The sequence below is a fragment of the Homo sapiens genome, chromosome Y, assembly GCF_000001405.40.
Source record: "Homo sapiens chromosome Y, GRCh38.p14 Primary Assembly".
Classification (NCBI taxonomy): Eukaryota; Metazoa; Chordata; class Mammalia; order Primates; family Hominidae; genus Homo; species Homo sapiens.
The window spans coordinates 11,787,512-11,808,454 of record NC_000024.10 but is presented as its reverse complement, the minus strand read 5'-3'; positions in this window follow the sequence as shown (position 1 = coordinate 11,808,454).

The following is a 20,943-nucleotide window of genomic DNA, read 5'->3' as shown; positions in this document are numbered from 1 at the left end:
ATTCTGTAGGCTGTATGAGAAGTGTGGCACCAGCATCTGCTTCTTGTCAGGGCTTCAAACTGCTTCTACTCATGGTGGAAGGCAAACGGAGGCCAGAATATCATATGGCAAGAGAGGGAGAAATAGAATAGGAAAGCGCTAGTCTCTTTTTAACAATCAGTTCTTGCAGTAGCTAATAGAACAAGAAATCACTGAAGATGGTGAGGATAGCCTCAAGCCTTTCACGAGTGATCTGCCTCCATGAGGCAACAGCTCCCACCAGATCCCAACCCTAAATTTGGGGATCAAATTTCAACATGAGGTTTGGAGGGAACAAATATCTAAACTATATCACTGACTATTCGGGCTATTGATAGTTTTTTTAAATAAAATAAATGATGGTGTATTTGATTGGATTAAGAAAATCAAGGCTGGGTATGGTGACTCACACCTGTAATCCTACCACTTTGGGAGGCTGAGGCAGGAGAATTGCTTGAGACCAGGGGTTCAAGACCAGCCTGGGCAGCATAGGGAGACCCCTATCTCTATGAAAAGGAGGAGGAGGAGGAGAAGGAAGGGGAGGAGAAGATGGAGAGGAGGAGGGGGAGGAGAAGAAGAAGAGGAGTAGGAGAAGGAGAGGAGGAGGAAGGGGAAGAGAGGAGGGAAAGGAGATGGGGGACAGGGGGAGTGAGCTAGGAGGTGGAGAAAAAAGAAAAAGAGGAGGAAGAAGAAATGAAAAAGGAAAATCAACTGGTTGTCTAAAATGTCAATCAGCATTTTGGTGCAGATAATAAACACCACTTTTTAAAATATTTTCTTTCTTTTTATTGTGGTAAAATATACGTAACATTTACCACTTTAATAATTTTTAAGTGTACAATTCAGTAGCATTAACTACATCTACAGTGTTGTGCAGCCATCACCACTATTCATTTCCAGAACTTGTCCATCATTTGAAACAGAAACTCTGTACCCATTAAGAAAAACTGCCCATAGCCCCCTCCTCCCAGCTCCTGGTAACCACCATTCTACTTTGTGTCTCTATGAATTTTCCTATTCTAGGTAATCTATATAATGGGAGTCATGCAGTATGGGTCCTATTGTGTCTGACTTACTTCACTTAATACGCTGTTTTCAAGGTTCATTTATAGTGTAGCATGTATCTGAATTTCACTCATTTTAAAGACTGAATACTTTTCCGTTTATGTATAGATCACATTTTGTTGTCCACTCGCCTGTTGATGGACATTTGGATTTCCACTTTTTGGTACTGCAGGTAACATTGCTATGAACATTGCTGTACAAGCATCCGTTTGAGCCATTGCTTTCAGTTCTTTTGGGTGTATACCTAGAAGTGGAAGTGCTGGATCATACAGTTTAACTTAACTCTATGTGTAACTTTTAAGGAACTGCTAAACAGTTTTCCACAGCAGCTGCACCACTTTCTGTTCTCAACAGCAACACACAAGTGTTCCAGTGTCACCACATCCTTGCAAGTACTTGTCATTGTTATTTATTTTTTTTTAGGATAATAGTCATCCTTACGGATCTGAAATGGTACTTCATTGTGGTTTTGGTTATCATCTCCCTAACAGCTAGTGATGTTGAACATCTTTTCATGTGCTTACTTAACATTTGTGTATCTTCTTTGGATAAATACCTGTATAAGTCTTTTGTCCATTTTTGAATTGAGTTATTTGGTTTTGGTTGTGTTTGTTCAGTTTTATGAGTACTTCGTGTGTTCTGAATGTTAATCTTCTCAAAGTTTCATAGTTTTAGCTCTTACATTTAGGACTTTGATCTATTTTATTTATTTATTTATTGAGACGGAGTCTCGCTCTTTCTCCCAGGCTGGATTGTAGTGGTACGATCTCGGCTCACTGCAAGCTCCGCCTTCCAGTTCACGCCATTCTCCTGCCTCAGCCTCCTGAGTAGCTGGGACTACAGGCGCCCGCCACTGCGCAGGCTAATTTTTTTGTATTTTTTTGTAGAGACGGGTTTTCACTGTGTTAGCAAGGATGGTCTTGATCTCCTGACCTCATGATCTGCCCGCCTCGGCCTCCCAAAGTGCTGGGATTACAGGCGTGAGCCACCGAGCCCAGCCAGGACTTGGATCTATTTTAGATTAGTTTTTGTATGTGTTGTAAGGTAAAAGTCCAACTTCATTCTTTTGCATTTGGATATTCATTTTTTTGCAGCATCATTTATTCCAAAGATGAACCTTACCCAATTGAACGGGCTTTGCACCATTGTTGACAATCAATTGACTATATACGTGAAGGTTTATTTCTTGGCTGTATTTCATCAGTCTGTATGTCTGCCCTTGTGCCTGGACAACATTCTTTTGATCACTATAGCTCTGTAATAAGTTTTGAAATCAGGAATTGAGAGTACTCCAATTTGTTCCTCTTTTTCAAGCTTATGTTTATCTTTTAGAGGTCTCTTGAGACTCTGAATTTTAGGATGCGTTTTTCTATTTCTGCAAAATAACATTGGCTTTTTGATAGGAATTGCGTTGAATCTGTAGATTGCTTTGGGTAGTATTGTCATCTTAACAATATGAAGTTTTCCAATTCATGAACAGGAAACGTCTTTCAATTCATTAATTTGTTTAATTCCTTTCAATAGTGTTTTGTAATTTTCATTGTACAGGTCTTTTGATTTCTTATTTTTTATTTTATTTTATTTTTTTTTTGAGACGGAGTCTCGCTCTGTCGCCCAGGCTGGAGTGCAGTGGCGCGATCTCTGCTCACTGCAAGCTCCGCCTCCCGGGTTCACGTCATTCTCCTGCCTCAGCCTCCCGAGTAGCTGGGACTACAGGCGCCCGCCACCACGCCCGGCTAATTTTTTGTATTTTTAGTAGAGGCGGGATTTCACTGTGTTAGCCAGGATGGCCTCGATCTCCTGACCTGATGATCCACCCACCTCTGCCTCCCAAAGTGCTGGGATTACAGGCGTGAGCCACCGCGCCCGGCCAGAAGCAATTGGTTAAATTTATTCCTAAGTATTTTATTTATTTTGGTGTTATTGTAAATGGAATTGTTTTCTAATTTCCTTTAATATTGCTTATTGTTGTATACAGAAATACAACTGATTTTTGGCGTGTTGAATTTGTACCTCTCATCTTTGCTGAATTTGTTAGCTCTAATGAATATTTTGTGGAGTCTTTAGAGTTTTTTAACATATAAAATCATGTCAGCCACAAAGATAATTTTTCTTCTTCCTTTCCAATTTTGATGTCTTTTATTTCCTTTTTCCCCAATTGCTCTGCCTAAAACTTCCAATATTATGTGTAATATAAACAGCAAAAGCAAGTGTTCTTGTCTTTTCCTCATGTAGCAGAAAAGCTTTCACCATTGAGTATGATGTGAGCTGTGAGTTTTTAACATATGACCTTTATCATGTTAGGGAAGTTACCTTTAATTTCTGGTTTATTGAGTATTTTAATCATGAAAGGGTGTTGAATGTTGTCAAATGCTTTTCTGCATCAATTGAGATGGCTGGGCTTATTTCCCCCTCATTCTGTTAATGTGGTGTATTACATTGATTGTTTTCCATGCATTCCTGGAATAAATCTCACTTGATCATGGTGTATAATTCTTTTAATATGCTTCTGTATTCTGTTTGCTAGTATTTTGTTGAGGATTTTTACATTAATATTCATTAAGATATTGATCTGTAGCTTTATTTTCCAGTATTATCTTTCTCTGCCTTTAGTATGAGAGTAAAGCTGGCTTTAGAGAATGAATTAGGAACTGACCTTTGTCTTCAATTTTTTAAGAAGTTTGAGAAGAATTGATTTTAATTCTTCTTCAAATATTAGGCAGAATTCATAGGTGAAGCCATCTGGCCCAAGACTTTCCCTTGTTGAGAGGTTTTTAGTACTGAATCAATTTCTTTACTAGTTATAGGTCAATTCATACTTTCTATTTCTTCTTTATTTGATTTTGGTAGATTGCATACTTCTAGGAATTTGTCCATTTATATGGTTAACTAATTTGTTGTCATACAATTGTTACTAGTATTATCTTGTAATCTTTATTTCTGTAAGATTGATAGTAAACTTTATATCACTTTTATTTCCCATTTTAGTAATTTGAGTCCTCTTGTTTATCAGTCAATCTAGCTAACATATGTTAATTTTGTTGATCTTTTCAAAGAACCACCTTGTGGTTTCATTGATTATCTCTATTTTTTTTTTTTTTTTTTTTGAGACGGAGTCTCAGTCTTGTTGCCCAGGCTGGAGTGCAGTGGCGTGAACTCAGCTCACTGAAACCTCCGCCTCCCGGGTTCAGGCGATTCTCCTGCCTCAGTCTCCTGAGTAGCTGGGATTACAGGCACCTGCCACCATGCCAGGCTAACTTTTGTACTTTTAGTAGAGATGGGGTTTCGCCATGTTGGCCAGGCTGGTCTTGAAATCCAGACCTCAGGTGATCCACCCCCCTTGTCTTCCCAAAGTGCTGGGATTACGGGTATGAGCAACCGTGCCCAGCCTCTACTGTTTTTTAACCTCTGTTTTATTTATCTCACTCTATTCTTTATTCTTCCTTCCTTTTGCTAGCTTTGAGTAAAGTTTGCTCTTCCTTTTCTAGACCCTTATGGTGAAAATTAGGTTGCTACTTTGAGATCTATCTTCTACTTTAATGCATGATTTTATAGCTGTAAATTTCCCTTTTATCACTGCTTTCATTGCATTTCATAAGTTTTGATATGTTGTGTTTTCATTTGTTTCAAGGTATTTTCTAATTTCCCTTTTGATTTCTTTTTTGACCACTTGGTTGTTTAAAAGTGTGTTGTTTAATTTCCAAATATTTGTGAACTTTTCAATTTTCTTTCTGTTATTGGTTTCTAGTTTTATGATTTTTATCTTTTACATTTTATTTATATGACTTCAGTCTTTTAGAATGTATGGACTTGTTTTGTCTTTTTATATATGATCCATCCTGGAGAATGTTCCAGGGGCATTTGAGAAAAAGATCTAATCTGCTGTTATAAATTACTGTATAAGTCTGTTAGGTCCAGTTGGTTTATGGACCTAACAAATTAGGTTATTAATTTACAATCTTTCTTTTACTTTAATGCATAAATTTATAGCTATAAGTTTCCCTTTAACACTGCTTTTATTGCATCCCATAAGTTTTGATATGTTGTGTTTTCGTTTGTTTCAAGGTATTTTCTAAGTGTTGTTCAAGTCCCCTATATTTTTATTGAACTGTCTTATCATTTTATCTATTGCTTAAAGTAAGCTATTGAAGTCTCCAACTATTATTGTAGAACTCTGTTTATTTCTCGCTTCAGTTCTGTAAATATTTCTTTCACAAATTTGGGGGTTCTGTAGTTTGTTGCATATATGTTTAAAATGATATCTTCTTGATTAATTGATTCCTTTATTAATATATTCTTCTTTGACCCTTGCAACCATTTTTTTTAGGTAAGTTCTAATTTTTCTGATATTAATATAGCCATTCCTGCTCTCTTTTGGTTACATGAAAATATTTACATGAATATCTTTTTCTGTGCTTTCAACCTGTTTGTGTCTTTAGACCTCAAGTGAGTCTCTTGTAGACAGCATATAGTTGAATCATATATATATATATATATATATATATATATATATATATATTTTTTTTTTTTTTTTTTTTTTTTTTTTTGAGGTGCAGTCTCACTCTGTCAGCCAGGCCGGAGTGCAGTGGCGCGATCTCGGCTCACGGCAAGCTCCGCTTCCTGGGTTCATGCCATTCTCCTGCCTCAGCCTCCTGAGTAGCTAGGACTACAGGTGCTCACCACCACGCCTGGCTAATTTTTTTGTGTTTTTAGTAGAGATGGGGTTTCACTGTGTTAGCCAGGATTGTCTCAATCTCCTGACCTCATGATCCACCCACCTTGGCCTCCCAAAGTGCTAGGATTACAGGCGTGAGACACCACACCTGGCTTGCCTGCTGTTTTTAAAATTACTGCCTTCTTTTGTTTTCAGTTGATTTTTGTGTAATAAGTTCCGATTTTTGTTTTTTTTAATTTTGAGACGGAGTCTTGCTCTGTCACCCAGGCTGGAGTGCAGTGGCACCATTTCGGCTCACTGCAAACTCCGCCTCCTGGATTCAAGCAATTCTCCTGTCTCAGCCTCCCGAGTAGCTGGGATTACAGGTGCATGCCACCATGCCCAGCTAATTTTTTGTGTTTTTGGTAGAGGTGGAGTTTTGCCATGTTGGTCAGGCTGGTCTTGGACTCCTGACCTCAGGTGATTCACCTGCCTTGGCCTCCCAAAGTGCTGGGATTATAGGCGTGAGCCACCGCACCTGGCCTGATTTCTTTTTTATTTCCTCTTTTGTATATTCTGTGAATCCTTTATAGTTACTATGGGGATTAAATATAATATTCTATAGTTTTTAACAGCCTAATTTGAATTGATACCTAGTTAATTTAAATTGCCTACAAAAACTGCTGCTGTATAGCTCTGTCCTCTCCTTTGTTATTGGTGTCAAAAATTACATCTTTGTATACATTGTGTGCCCAATAACATAGATTTAAAATAATTTTTATGCACTTGGCTTTTAATCCTGTAGAAAATAAAAAGTGGAGTTACAAACCAAAATTACAAGCCAAAATTACTGGCTTTTATGTTTGCCTATAGATTTATCTTTACTAGAGATCTTAATATCTTCATTTGTCATTGAGTTGCTGTCTGTCATCCATTTATTTCAACTCCTTTCTTACAGAGCAGGTCTATCGGTAATGAACACCCTCAGCTTCTGTTTGGGAATGTCTAAATTTCTTCTTCATTTTTGAAGTACGGTTTTGCAGATATAGGTTTTCTATTTGACAGTTTTTTCTTTCATCACTTTAAACATTCTATCCCACTGACTTCATATCTGAAAGTCTTCTGCTGACAAATCTATTTCTAATCTTTTTTAAAAAGAAATCTTATTTATTTAATTCACAAATAATGGTTGTGAATATAAATATTAAATATAAATATATTTAATTTAAATATAAGGTACAATGTGTTTTTTAATCTATGTATACATTGTTACAAAAGATTAAATCAAGTAAATTATCATATCTATTACCTCACCAACTTTTCTTTTGTGGTAGGAATATTAACAATGTATTATTTTAGTAGTTTTGAAATATACAATTCATTATTATTAACTGTGGTTACCATGCAGTATAATAGATCACTAAAACTTACTCCTGCAGTCTAACTGACACTTTGTACTTTGTGATCAACATCTTTCCTTTACCCATCCTTCTCCCAACCCCAGCCTCTGGTAACTACCTTTCTACTCTGTTTCTATGAGATCAATGTTTTTGGATTCCACATATGCGTGAGATTATACAGTATTTGTCCTTCTTGTCAGGCTTATTCCCCTAATCCCCAAACTCTTTCCTCTGTTCTCCATATTCAAACCAAACAGGAGGTCCTCTAGATTTACCTCTGTCCTGTTTCTCAAATGTATCCTTTTCTCTCTATTCTTATTGCTACTTAGTTCATCATTTCTTGTTAGAATTACAATATTGCTTCTTACCATGTTTTCCTAATATGTGTTTGACTTTCTCCAATACATTCTCCACATCCCATAACTGATCTGAAACAGTTATGCAAATGATATTCACCTTTTCACACAGTTGTTCAATGATTTCTCCTGGCCTTTAGCAAAGTTCAAACTCTGGCCATGACATGTAAGGTCCTTTAGCACAATGTCCTTCAGGTCTATTTATGTTGTCACAAATGATAGGTTTTTCTTCTTTTTAAAGGCTGCATAGTATTCCAGTGTGTATATATGCCACATTTTCTTTATCCATTCATCCGTTGATGATAATCTTATTGATGATCTCTTTTATGTGATGAATTGCACCACTGTAGGGATTGGAGAAATCTTTTCCTCACCGCTTGACAGGTTTGACAGGTTTATGGCTGAGGCCTTTATAACAAAAGGCCTTTATAACAAAAGAGAAAAGCATACAAATTCACTTAATATATATTTTATATGAAATGAGAAACCTCATAAAGAAATGAAGACTCAAAGACACAGGTAAACCAGTGGCTTTTTTTTTTGAGACAGAGTCTCACTCTGTCACCCAGGCTGGAGTGAGTGGTGTGATCCTGGCTCACTGTAACCTCTACCTCCCAGGTTCACGCGATTGTTGTGCCTCAGCCACCTGAGTAGCTGGGATTACAGGCGTGCACCACCACACCTTGCTTGCTAATCTTTGTATTTTTAGTAGAGACAGGGTTTCTCCATGTTGACCAGGCTGGTTGCAATCTCCTGGCCTCAAATGGTCTGCCTGCCTTGGCCTCCAAAAGTGCTGGGATTACAGGTGTGAGCCACCACGCCCAGCCAACCAGTGGCTTTTTAATGCTAGGTTTGATGAAGAAGTGGATAGCTGGGAAGAATGTTTGGATCAAAAAGTATGATCTAATGGTAACAAACTGGGGGGAACTTAGCAAGACCTGTTAGTTCCAATTCTTTTCTGTGTCCCTGTGCCTTCAGAGATAAGGATGTTCCTTTCCTCTGCTTCTAGAGAGGGCATTTCTTGAATGTGGGTCTTATGACCTGCTTCAGGGGAGAAGGGTGGGAAAATGTCAGACAATGACCTTCCTAGGTTTTATGACCAGCTTCAGGGGAGAAGGTGAGGGGGAAGTGAAAGTGATATTCCTGCTTCTGCTATTTTCTCAAATACCAAGGTGCTGTATTTTAGGGTAGTGTGATCCTGAATCCCATCACCATCATCAATATTCCCCTAATCCCCAAACTCTTTCCTCTGTTCTCCATCTTTAAACCAAACAGGAGGTCCTCTAGATTTACCTCTGTCCTATTTCTCAGATGTAGCCTTTTCTCCCTGTTCTTCTGGCTACTTGGTTCATCATTTCTTGTTAGAATTACAATATTGCTTCTTACCATGCTTTCCTAATATGTTTGACTTTCTCCAACACATCTCCACGTCCCATAACTGATCTGAAACAATTATGCGAATGATATTCACCTTTTCACACAGTTGTTCTTTGGTTCCTTCTGGCCTTTAGCAAGGTTCAAACTCTGGCCATGACATGTAAGGTCCTTTAGCACATGGGCCTCCAGTCTCAGTAGTCTGAACTGACTGGAAGTGTTTCTTCTTGCCTGTTGCCAAGCCTTCAAGCAGACTCACTCATGGATGACACAGCTGTCTGCAAGTGCCTATTGTTTTGTCTCAAAACTTGTAGTGACAGGTGTGTCTTGTCACTTTCTGGTGTACATTGCAGATCTGCCTTGTTTATCATTCCAAGATGAGCTCCGATGTGAGTGGCCCTGACAGTGCAGAGTATAATCAAATGCTCTTTGAACTGAGGGAGCACATTTTATTGCTGTTAACACATTTTACAGTTTATAAGGTTATCAGCCCCTTAACTCCTGAGTTTTCTTCAAGCTTGGCTTTGAATCTGTAAACACAACTGATTTATATCACAAAATTGACATAAAATATAATACTTATTGTTTCATTTTATAAATTCCTCACCTCATAAATTATAATTAAAAAAACAACAAGATTATGTTTTCCCTTCCATCCATCTCACTAAGAAATAGTATCATAATTCTTCAACAGTGAATTTTCTGTATGGGAGAAAAAGATGTTTTAACATAAATTTAGCCAATTTTTGAATAATTGCATTACGATTATAAATGCTTCTTGTAAGCCAGTCTCAACACTTCTTAGGGTTATCTATGAAAAATAAATAATAGATAAATAAAAATAAGACCTCATTTTGAAATACTGTAGGAATTTCTTGTGTCCACTTTTAATTTTTAGCAACCATAATCTTTAACCTTTTTTTCTGTATATGAAGAAACTTAAATTTTAAACACTAGAAACATGTTTCTGCTTAATTCCAGTCTGAAGTTGGAGGTCTAAGGCAAGAAAAAGGTGCAAATAATTGGAGCCCAAGTCTTCAAGGACACCAAAAAAAGAATTTTAAAGTCTTTTTTTTTTTTTTTTTGAGATGGAGTGTCACTCTTTCACCCAAGCTGGAGTGCAGTGGTATGATCTTGGCTCACTGCAACTTCTGCCCCCCAGGTTCAAGTGATTCTCCTGTCTCAGCGTCCCGAGTAGCTGTGATTATAGGTGCCTGCCACCATGCCCAGCTAATTTTTGTATTTTTGGTAGGGATGGATTTCACCATGTTGGCCAGGCTAGTCTTGAGCTCCTGATGTCAGGTGATCCACCTGCCTCAGCTTCTCAAAGTGCTAGGATTACAGATGTGAGCCATTGTCAAATATTTTCTTGTAAAATCTAGCTGTTCAAGTTAGCTTACAATCATGTTGGTCTTTCTAAATAAAACTGCCTTTTTTATAATAAAAAATTGTTTAAAATAAAATAAAATATTGGCTATTTGTCAAGAGCCTGTGCATTTTAATATAAGATTTGAAATTTAAATTAATGATTGATGAGACAAATTTTTTAAGCACAGGGAATTGAAAGTATTTTTAAATTCTAAGAAAAAGAAAAAAATGAAAATAAGCCACATTCATTCAATAACTTCATCTGAAAATGAAGTCAGTTGGAATTGAATTCATGATGTATATTACTTAATCATACCATAGGACTCATTTGCTCAGGCAGAAGTTAGTTTACCTTAAACTCAATTAGGAGCACAATCCGTTCCAGTACAATGGAATCTCCTCATTGTAATGGCTGTTCAAAATTAACGGTTTACTTACAAAATTTTCTGAACTTATGCCATTGAATTATTGTCTTATTTTTAGGTATAGGTTGAGCCCCAAACATGTAAAATATGATGAAGCATGTGTACTTGACAAGTGTATTGGTTATAAACAACAGAAACCAACTCTGACTAAGGGGAGCCAAACAGGACTTACAGGAAAGTCATCAGATAGCACACATTTGGAGACATATTGGCAAATAAAGCTAGGAGAACAGGAAGGAACCAAGGGAATGTAGGTCACCAAGAGCCCAGGCCAGTTCAAATGAAAATGTGCAGGTACAGCCACCACTGTATCCTCCCAACTGAGCCTCTTGACTCTCAACTCCATTGCCTCCACACCTATAAAACATCTGCAGAGCAGCATCAACCATTACAACCAGGCCTACTTCTTGACGTTAGTGGATTCAGGCTCCAAGTCCCAGAGAGAAGGTGCCTCAGATGGGTTCGGGGAGATCAATGCCATATTGGAAGCAAAGCTCCAAAGAGTTATGGATTGAATTGTGTCTCCCCAAAATGCACATGTAGAAGTCCTAATCCTGAGTACTTTAGAATGTGACTTTCTTTGGAAACAGGGTCATTGCAGACACAATTTTACATATAATAACTGTTAAGATGAAGTCATGCTTGCGTAAGGTGGGCTCCTAATTCAATATGACTAGTGTCCTTATAAAAAGGGAAAATTCGGAGACAGACAAACACATAGAGAGAATGCCATGTGAATTTCAAGGCAGAGATTGGGTGATTTATTTGCAGGCTAAATAATGCCAAAGATAGCAAACTACCAGAAGTTAGGGTAGAGGCATGAAGCAGAAAGAAGCAACCCTTCCTATACATTGATCTTAGTCTTGTACCCTCCAGAACTGTGAGACAATACAATTTCTTTTGTTCAAGCCATCCAGGTTGTGGTACTTTGTTATGGCAGACTTAGCAAACTATTATAATACACCCATCTCCAGCCAAGACTCCAAGAGCAGCAAATTCTCCATTCTTGCCATTCCTATTCAACATAGCAATCAGTCAAATGAAATAAATAAAAGGCATCCACACTGGAAAAGGAGAAGTCAAATCTCTGTTAGCTGATAACATGATCTTATACCTAGAAAACCCTAAAGATTCTGCTCAAAGATTCCTAGACCTGATAAATAACTTTAGTAAAGTTTCTTGATACAAAACTAATGTACAAAAATAATTTGCATTTCTACACCAACAGTGCTCAAGCTGAGAACCAAATCCAGAGCTCAATCTCATTCATAATGGCCACACAAAAAATATTCTGTTTGTGTAAAAGTAATTGAGGTTTTTGCCACTACTTTCAATGGCAGAAATGGCAATTAATTTTACACCAACCTAATAAAATTCTTAGGAATACATTTATCCAAGGAGGTGAAGTACCTCCACAAGGAGAACTACAAAACACTGATGAGAAAAAAATGGAGATGAAACAAGCAAATGGATAATGAAGCATTCCATGCTCATGGGTTGGAAGAATCAATATTGTTAAAATGTCCATACTGCCAAAAGCAATTTACATATTCAATGCTATTTCTACTAAATTGGCAACACCATTTTTTACAGAATTAGAAAAAAAACTATTCTAAAATTCATATGGAATCAGAAAAGTGACAAATAGCCAAAGCAATCGTGAGCAAAAAGAATAAAGCTGGAGGCATCACATTATCCAACTTCAAACTGTACTGCAAGGCTACAGTTACCAAGACATCGTGATACTGGTACAAAAACAGACACATAGACTAACAGAACAGAGACCCCTGAAACAAAGCCACACATCTACAAGCAGTTAATCTTCCTCAGAGTCCACAAACATAAACAATGGGCAAAGGACACCCTATTAAATACTGCTGGGAAAACTGGCTAACCATATGCAGAACAATGAAATTGGACCCCTGCCTCTCATATAAAAAATTAAACTCAAGATGGATTAAAGACTTGAATGTAAGACCTCAAACTACAACAATTCTAAAAGAAAACCTAGGAAATACTCTTCTAGACATTGGCCTAGGCAAAGAATTTATGACTAAGTCCTCAAAAGAAAATGCAAAAAGACAAAAGTTGACAATTGAGATATAATTAAACCAAGGAGATTTTGCACAGCAAAAGAAACTATCAACAGAGTAAACAGACAACCTACAGAATGGGAGAAAATGTTCACAAACTATACATCTGACAAATCACTAATATTCAGAATCTATAAAGAACTTAAATCCAAAGAATAATAACTTCATTAAGAAGTGGGTGAAGGACATAAGCAGACACTTCTCAAAAGAAGACATACAAGCCGCCAGCAAACACATGAGAAAATGGTCACTATCACTGATCATCAGAGAAAAGCAAATCAAAACCGCAATGAAATACACCTTCGCATCAGTCAAAACAGCTATTATTAAAAATCAAGAAATAACAAATGATGGCGAGGTTGCAGAGAAAAGGGAACACTTATACACTGTTGATGGGAGTGTAAATTAGTTCAACCATTGTGGAAAACAGTGTGGAGTTTCCTCAAGAAGCTAAAAGCAGACTTATTATACCATTTGAATCAGCAATCCCATTACTGGGTATATACCCAGATGAATAGAAATTCTGCCACAAAGACACAGGCATGCAAATGTTCACTGCAGCACTATTAACAATAGCAAAGACATGGAATCAACATAAATGCCCATCAATGACAGATTGGATGAAGAAAAGGTGGTACATATACACCATGGAATACTATGCAGCTATAAAAAAGAGCAAGATCATATATTTTGAGGGAACATGGATGGAACTGGAAGCTATTATCCTTAGCAAACTAACACAGGAGCAGAAAACCAAACACCACATGTACTCACTTGTAAAAGTAGGAGCTAAATGATGAGAACTCATGAACACAAAGAAGGGAATAATAGAAACAGGGGTCTACTTGGAGGGTGGAGGGTGGGAGATGGGAGAGGAGAAGAAAAGATAACTGTTGGGTACTGGCTTAATACCTGGGTAATGAAATAATCGTACAACAAACCCCCATGACACAGTTTACCTATTTAACCTTAACTGGTACCCCGGAACCTAAAATAAACTTTTTTTTAAGTCAAAAAATAACAGATGTTCATGAGTTTGTGAAGAAAAGGGAATGCTTATACACTACTGATGGGAGTGTAAATTAGTTTAGCCTCTGTGGAAAGCAGTTTGGAGATTTCTTAAAGACCTAAAAATAGAATTACCACTCGACCTAGCAATCCCATTACTGGGTATATACTCAGAGGAAAATAAATAACTCTACCAGGAAGAAACATGTACTCGTATGTTTATCACAGCACTATTCACAATAGCAAAGACATGTAATCAACCTAGGTGCCCATCAGTTGTGGACTGGCTAAAGAAAAAGTCATATATATACACCATGGAATACTATGAAGCCATAAAAGAATAAAATCATGTCTTTTGCGGCAACATGGATGCAGCTGGAGGCCACTATCCTAAGTGAATTAACACAGGAACAAAAAAACTGAATACTGCATGTTCTTATTTATAAGTAGGAGCTAAACATTTGGTATACATGGACACAAAGATGGGAACAATGGACACTGGAGATCCTGAAAAGAGAGAGGAAAGGAGGGGAGCAAGGGTTGAAAAACTATCTGTTAGGTACTATCTTCACTATTTGGGCAACAGGATTATTAGAAGCCCAAACCTCAGCATCATGCGATATACCCATGTAACAAACCTGCACGTGCACCCTTGAATCTGAAATTTGCAAAAAATGTTGATGTTCTGATCCTCAATGTAACGGTATTAGGAGGTGAGAGGAAATTATCCTGATGATAGAACCCTCATGATTGGCATTACTGGCTTTATAAAAGGAACCTCACAGAGCTCTTTCCTCCCTCTCTGCCAGGTGAGGATAATACCTGAAGTCTGAATTCTGCAACTCAGAAGAGAGTCCTCACAAGAGCCTGACCATATGGCGCTTTACACTAGGCCATGAGTATCTTTTGCATGTTGTCACTGTTTTTATTGTTTTATCTATCTACCGCAATTCTCTCATGTAGCACAAAGTTCCATTGCCTCGGTAGACCTTCTCCAAACCTTAAAAACCATCAGTCTAGGCTGGGTGTGGTGGCTCACGCCTGTAATCCCAGCGGGCAGATTGCCTGAGGTCAGGAGTTCGAGAGCAGCCTGGCCAACATGGTGAAACCCCGTCTCTACTAAAAATGCAAAAATTAGCTGGGTGTAGTGGCGGGTGCCTTTAATCCCAGCTACTCAGCAGGCTGAGGCAGGAGAATCTTTTGAATCAGGAGATGAAGTTTGCAGTGAGCTGAGATCGTGCAACTGCCCTCCAGCCTGGGAGACAGAGGCAGACTCTGTCTCAAAAAAAGCAAAAGCCATCAGTCTTGGCCAGGGAGAGTGGCTCATGCCTGTAATCTCAGCACTTGGGAGGCCGAGGCTGGCAGATTACTTGAGGTCATGAGTTCGAGACTAGCCTGGCTAACGTGGTGAAACCCTGCCTCTACAAAAAATACAAAAATTAGCTGGGTGTGGTGGTGTCCACCTGTAGCCTCAGCTACTTGGGAAGCTGAGGCAGGAGAATCACTTGAACCCAGGAGGTAGAGGTTGCAGTGAGCCAAGATCATGCCAGTGCACTCCAGCCTGGGCGACAGAGTGAGACTCTGTCTCAAAGAACAAAAACAAATCATCAGTCTTACTAGGGAGTTTTTTTTGTTTGTTTGTTTGTTTTTTTTTTTTTACAAAAGGGGACTTGTACAAAAAAGTGGGTGAAGCCACTCTATTTGTTTGTCTGCAATGTGTTGTCTCACAGAACACAGAGCCCCACTGGGCTGCAGGGTACATTCTATGTGTGTCTGAAGAGGCTGCAACAGTTTGCTAGACCTCCCATAACATGGTATCACAGACTGAAGGGCTTTAACAACAGAAATTTAGTTTCTCACAGTTCTGGAGGCAAGAAATTTGACATCAAGCTCCTGGCTGGGCTGGTTTCTCTGAGGCCTCTCTCCCTGGTTTGTAAACAGCTGTCTTCTATTTCTGGGCTCACAAGGTCTTCTCTTGTGCCTCCCTGTGTCCTTGCTGTCTCTCCTTATAAGGACTCTAGTCATAGCGGATTAGGGCCCACCCCAATGAACCCACTTCATGTTAATTACATCTTTTTTTTTTTCCTTTTTTGAGATCGAGTCTTGCTCTATTGCCCAGGCTGGAGTACAGTGGCACAATCTCGGTTCACTGCAACCTCTGTCTCCCAGGTTCAAGTGATTTTCCTGCCTTAACCTCCCAAGTAGCTGGGATTACAGGTGTGTGCCACCACACCTGGCTGATTTTTTGTATTTTTAGTAGAGATAGGGTTTTACAATTTTGGCCAGGCTGGTTTCGAACTCCTGACGTCAGGTGATCCACCTGCCTCAGCCTTTCAAAGTGCTGAGATTACAGGTGTGAGCGAGTAGTAACCACACCTGGCCATATTAATTACCTCTTTAAGGAGCATATGTCCAAATACAGTGAGATTCTGAGGCACTGAGTGTATGAATTTGTGGGAGGGAACACAATTCATCTGATAACATATACTAACTCCCTCCAGAGTACACATATGTCAGATTGTATAGCTACAGCCCGATAACTTTCCAAAATGGCTGTAGCAGGTACATTGTCACCAGCAGTCCCTGAAGGTAACTGGTTCCCTGCATTCAGCCTCCCCTGAAGGTTAACATTTCTAATATTTTGCCAACCTGGTGTCTGTGTGGCAAATACCATCACGTTGTTCCTTTCATTCCCAAGTTTCCCAACGGATGTGTTTGTTGTCTTTCAGTTGTTTAATATCTGCTCAGGGTGTCTTTTCCCTGAGCCAAATGCTCAGATCCCCTAGGTTCTCTGATGAGCTTTCTCCCTGGAGTCTCCTGACATTTTCCCTTTTGCCAGGTGTGGGATTGTTTTAGCTATTTCTCAAGACTCCCTTTAATGTTAAAGGAAGAAAAACAAATTATGTTGCTTTAAGTCCAAAGAGTTCTTCTAGAGTGTCTTGCCTTGTGCACTGTCTCTGAAAAGGAGAGGAAAGGAGGCTTCCCCAGGCCCTTCTCCTCCATGGCAGGAGCAGGCCGAGCCTCAGGTAGTTTAGAGGGAATTTCATGCAGCCTCCCTTGCGGATGATTCTCTGTTCTGACTCATGTGCTGTTGAGCAGCCATTTGACATCCAAAAGTCTGTGTCTTCTCATCTATACAATGAGTGTATTTTTTTTTGAGGACTCACTTGGATAGTGCTCTTCATACAGGCTGTTAATACAGGTGGGTGCTGTTGCTCCACAGTTGCCAAATACTGTGATGGTGCCTTGAAGCTATTAATGATTTAATGAATATCTGTTCCCCCCCCATCACATTTTACATTGAAAGTCTAAAACCTTTTTCACCATGAACACCCATGTCCTCCACATGCACAAGTCCCTGAAGGGTTGAGGCTTCCTAGTCTGATCTCCAGATCCCAATTCCCTGGTGGCTCATGATGCTGTCACTGACCGTGTCCTTCCTGGTCCTCTCTAGTATGAAAATGAGCATACTCTGAACCTAGGGGAGATCTGTACTATGCAGAGGGAACCCCCAGCCAGGCACAAGGGAGAGGCTGGTGGAATCCCTGGTTCCAGCATTCCAGGGTCAAACCATCCCCTCCTTCAGGAGCTTCCTGGGCTCCTAGTGGGACTTCACCACTGTCCTACAGTTCTTGTAAGGGAGGATACCACCCCTCATATTGTCTTATGCCCAATTTCTGCCTCCAAAGAAAGAAGAACTAAAAACTAAAAGGCAGAAATGAAATCCGCAGGCAGACAGCTCAGCGCCACACCCTGGGCCTGGTAGTTAAAGATCGACCCCTGACCTGATCGTTTCTGTTATCTACAGATTCCAGACATTGTATAGAAAAGCACTGTGAAAATCCCTGTCCTGTTCTGTTCCATTCTAATTGCTGGTGCATGCAGCCCCCAGTCACGTACCGCCTGCTTGGTCAATGGATCCCGACCCTCTCACGCGGACCCCCTTAGAGTTGTGAGCCCTTAAAAGGGACAGGAATTGCTCACTCGGGGAGCTCGGTTGTTGGAGACGTGAGTCTTGCTGAAGCTCCTGGCCGAATAAAGCCCTTACTTCTTTAACTCAGTATCTGAGGGGTTTTGTCTGCAGCTTGTCCTGCTACACCTGGAGCAGCTGTTCAGCAGGTGAGTGTCTGTTTCTTTCAAGGCACACCCTACTACCTACTAGCTGTGTCTAGGGATGCCACTGCAGCTTTCTGAGCCTCAACTTGCACCTCTGAAAAGTGGAGTAGTAAGATGAATCTCAGTGAGGTTCTTGTAGGAATGAAATGGCCTAAGACATGACAGGTGGCTCCTGAGTGCCTGGCTCTGTGGAAAGGTTGTTGGACCTACTGTGGTTGTTCATATTTCATATTTTTCTTTTCCCCCATCTCAGAAGAAGCTGTTTTCATCATGTCTCAATGGCCTCTGTCTCTCTCTGTTTGGCAAAGCACATAGACAGCAAATCTGTTTTTACATTTGTAAAGGAGATTTAAGATTCCTTCTAGCTAATCTTTGTCCTCAATACAGACAGAACAGGGATCTCTAGGTGCTGGGAGAGGAATCTGTCCTAAATCTGAAAGGTACAGTAACAGTTGATCAGATCACAATTCATTCATGGAAACATCCACAACAAAAAGAGGAAACTGTGGGCGATTTTCATGTTAGCCTCAACAATTCCATCTGACACTAGGGTGTTAAAGAAGGCATGAGAGTTTTAGTTAAAAAGCCAAATTCTTTATTTAAAAGTTATAGAAATTTGAAGTAATAACAATATAAATAAGTCATTGGGCAGGATGGGGCCAATGGTGACCCCAAGGTACAGCTGCTAGGTCCTGCCTGGGCCTGTGCCCTTTGGAAAATACATTCCCACCTGCCTGCCAACCAGGAAGAGCCCGTCCTGGGCAGCACCTCAGAGGCCCCCAGCTCAGATGCTCAGCTAAGGGCAGGTCCCAGTCGCCGGAGGAGGAGACCACGTCCTGGAGCAGGAGGAGGAGTTGCTGGAATTCCGCCCCGTCCGCCCCCATCAGCGGCAGGCCAGGCGGGGACGTGGAGGGGGCGAGCTGGTGGAGTTCGCGCCCATAGGCCGGGTGGCGGCTTGCGAGAAACAGACGTTGTTCAGGTCGTGCTGGGGCCGAGGCTGGCACGCGGGAAGCTCTTCAGCAAGGCCCAGGAGCCGGCCCGCCAGCCCTGCTCTCCGCCTCCGCGGCTCTCCCTTCGCCCAGGACCGAGAGCGGCGCGAGGCCTGCTGGCCGGAGCCCCACTGGCCGCCGCCTCTCCTGGGGAGCCTCTTCCAGCTCCAGTGCTGAGGCGAGTGGGGGCAACAGACACCACGATGTCAGGCAACGCCTCGCCGGGCTGGTTCTTCGCAGTCCCAGGACCGGGGCAGGAGCACTGTGGCTCTGGAGCTGGCCGTGGTGCTGGATCGATGTGTGGGAGGCCCAGGGCTGCAAGTCACTCTGGCTCCGGAGCAGGCAGCATGTACCAGAGCCAGCACTGGAATTGCCTGTGTCTCTAGACATTAAGCAGGAGCTGGAAAAGGACAATGAGTTACCAAAATCAGTCACTTCCCACTGGCCTTTCTAAACACAGAAATGACCGCACAGAATTTAATGGAATTGGAGCCCTCAAACACCACCCCTGGAAAGTCTTCCAGGCTGCAGGCCTCCTCACTGTCTGCCTCTACCTCAATGGGCTCCAGAGGCTCCAGCTGCACAAAAGCAATATGCACGTGATGCTTCAGGCCCCATCCAGGCCAACCGACCTGCACAGAGGCCGCCTAGGTTGAAGGACACTTCGACCTGCTCGTGGCCTTTTTTTTTTTTTTGACTCTCAGTCTTACTGTGGAAACATGGATCATGTAGATTTATTACTAAGTCAGATCAGTCACCTTTTGCCCTCAGGGTTTTAGCGTCAGAGGTTCCAAAAATTATGAGTGCCAGTTGATGTGTCAGGTGTTTTCGCTCATCTGGGTTGCCAGAACAGAATACTATAGACCAGACAGCTTATATGCGACAGAAATGTGTTTCACACAGTTCTAGAGATAGCGAAGTCCAAGGTCAAGTGGTCTGGTGAGGGCTGGCTTCCTGGTTCAGAAACAGACATTTTTTTTTTTTTTTTTTGAGATGGAGTCTTGCTCTGTAGCCCAGGCTGGAGTACAGTGGCACGATCTTAGCTCACTGCAACCTCTGTCTCCCAGGTTCAAGCAATTCTCCTGCCTCAGCCTCCCGAGTAGCTGGGAATACAGGTATGTGCCACCACAGCTGGCTAATTTTTTGTATTTTTTATAGAGATAAGGTCTCACCGTGTTAGCCAGGATGGTCTCGATCTCCTGACCTCGTGATCTGCCCACCTCAGCCTCCCAAAGTGCTGGGATCACAGGCATGAGCCACCGCGCCCAGCCAGAAACAGTTATTTTTTTTTTTACTGTGTCCTCACATTACAGAAGCTATGAGGGAGCCATCTTGGAGTCCCTTTTATAGGGACACCAATCCATTCATGTGGTCTCTTCTTCATGACTTAATCATCTCCCAAGGCTCCACCTCCAGATACATCACTTAAGGGTTTTGATTCCAACATATGAATTGGAGGGGACAGAAACCTCTGGTCTACAGCATCAGGTTACCCTGACCCTCTTGCACCCAGAGAATTCTATAATCTTCTATGAATATTTGCTGGTCTCCTCTGGAGTTTGCTAAACTTCTCTGGGTTTAGAAAAATCTTTAATTGTAGTTCTTGATTCAGCTGGGTCCCAGGTTTAAATTCTACAGTTGCTGTCAAAACTTGTTTATGGAACAGAAGAAACTTCAGAGGAAACTGGTCATTTGGAGTTTTAGGAGAGTTGTTGGGGAGGGTCTGGGATCTGAATGAGAAGTGGAAGGAGGATAGGATGAAGGCACAGAAGGAGAGAGATTAGGATGAGAAAGGGGAAGGGGGACACCTGGATATAAGGTCAACTGGAGGGCAAGAAAGTGGGAGAGAGTTTACTAAGAAAATGAATCCATTGGGTTGGTGCAAAAGTAATTGTGGTTTTGCAAAACCACTTTTGCACCAACCTAATAGTTTGTAGTTGCTTAAGTGTGTCAAATTGTGTCTTAGGTTTGGCCAGAGAAGATTTAATGAAATGATTCTTGATTCAGAATAGCATTTGAAAGCTTCTGCTTACCAACCAAAATGTACTGCTCATTGGGCCTGAGAAATCTTATTCCT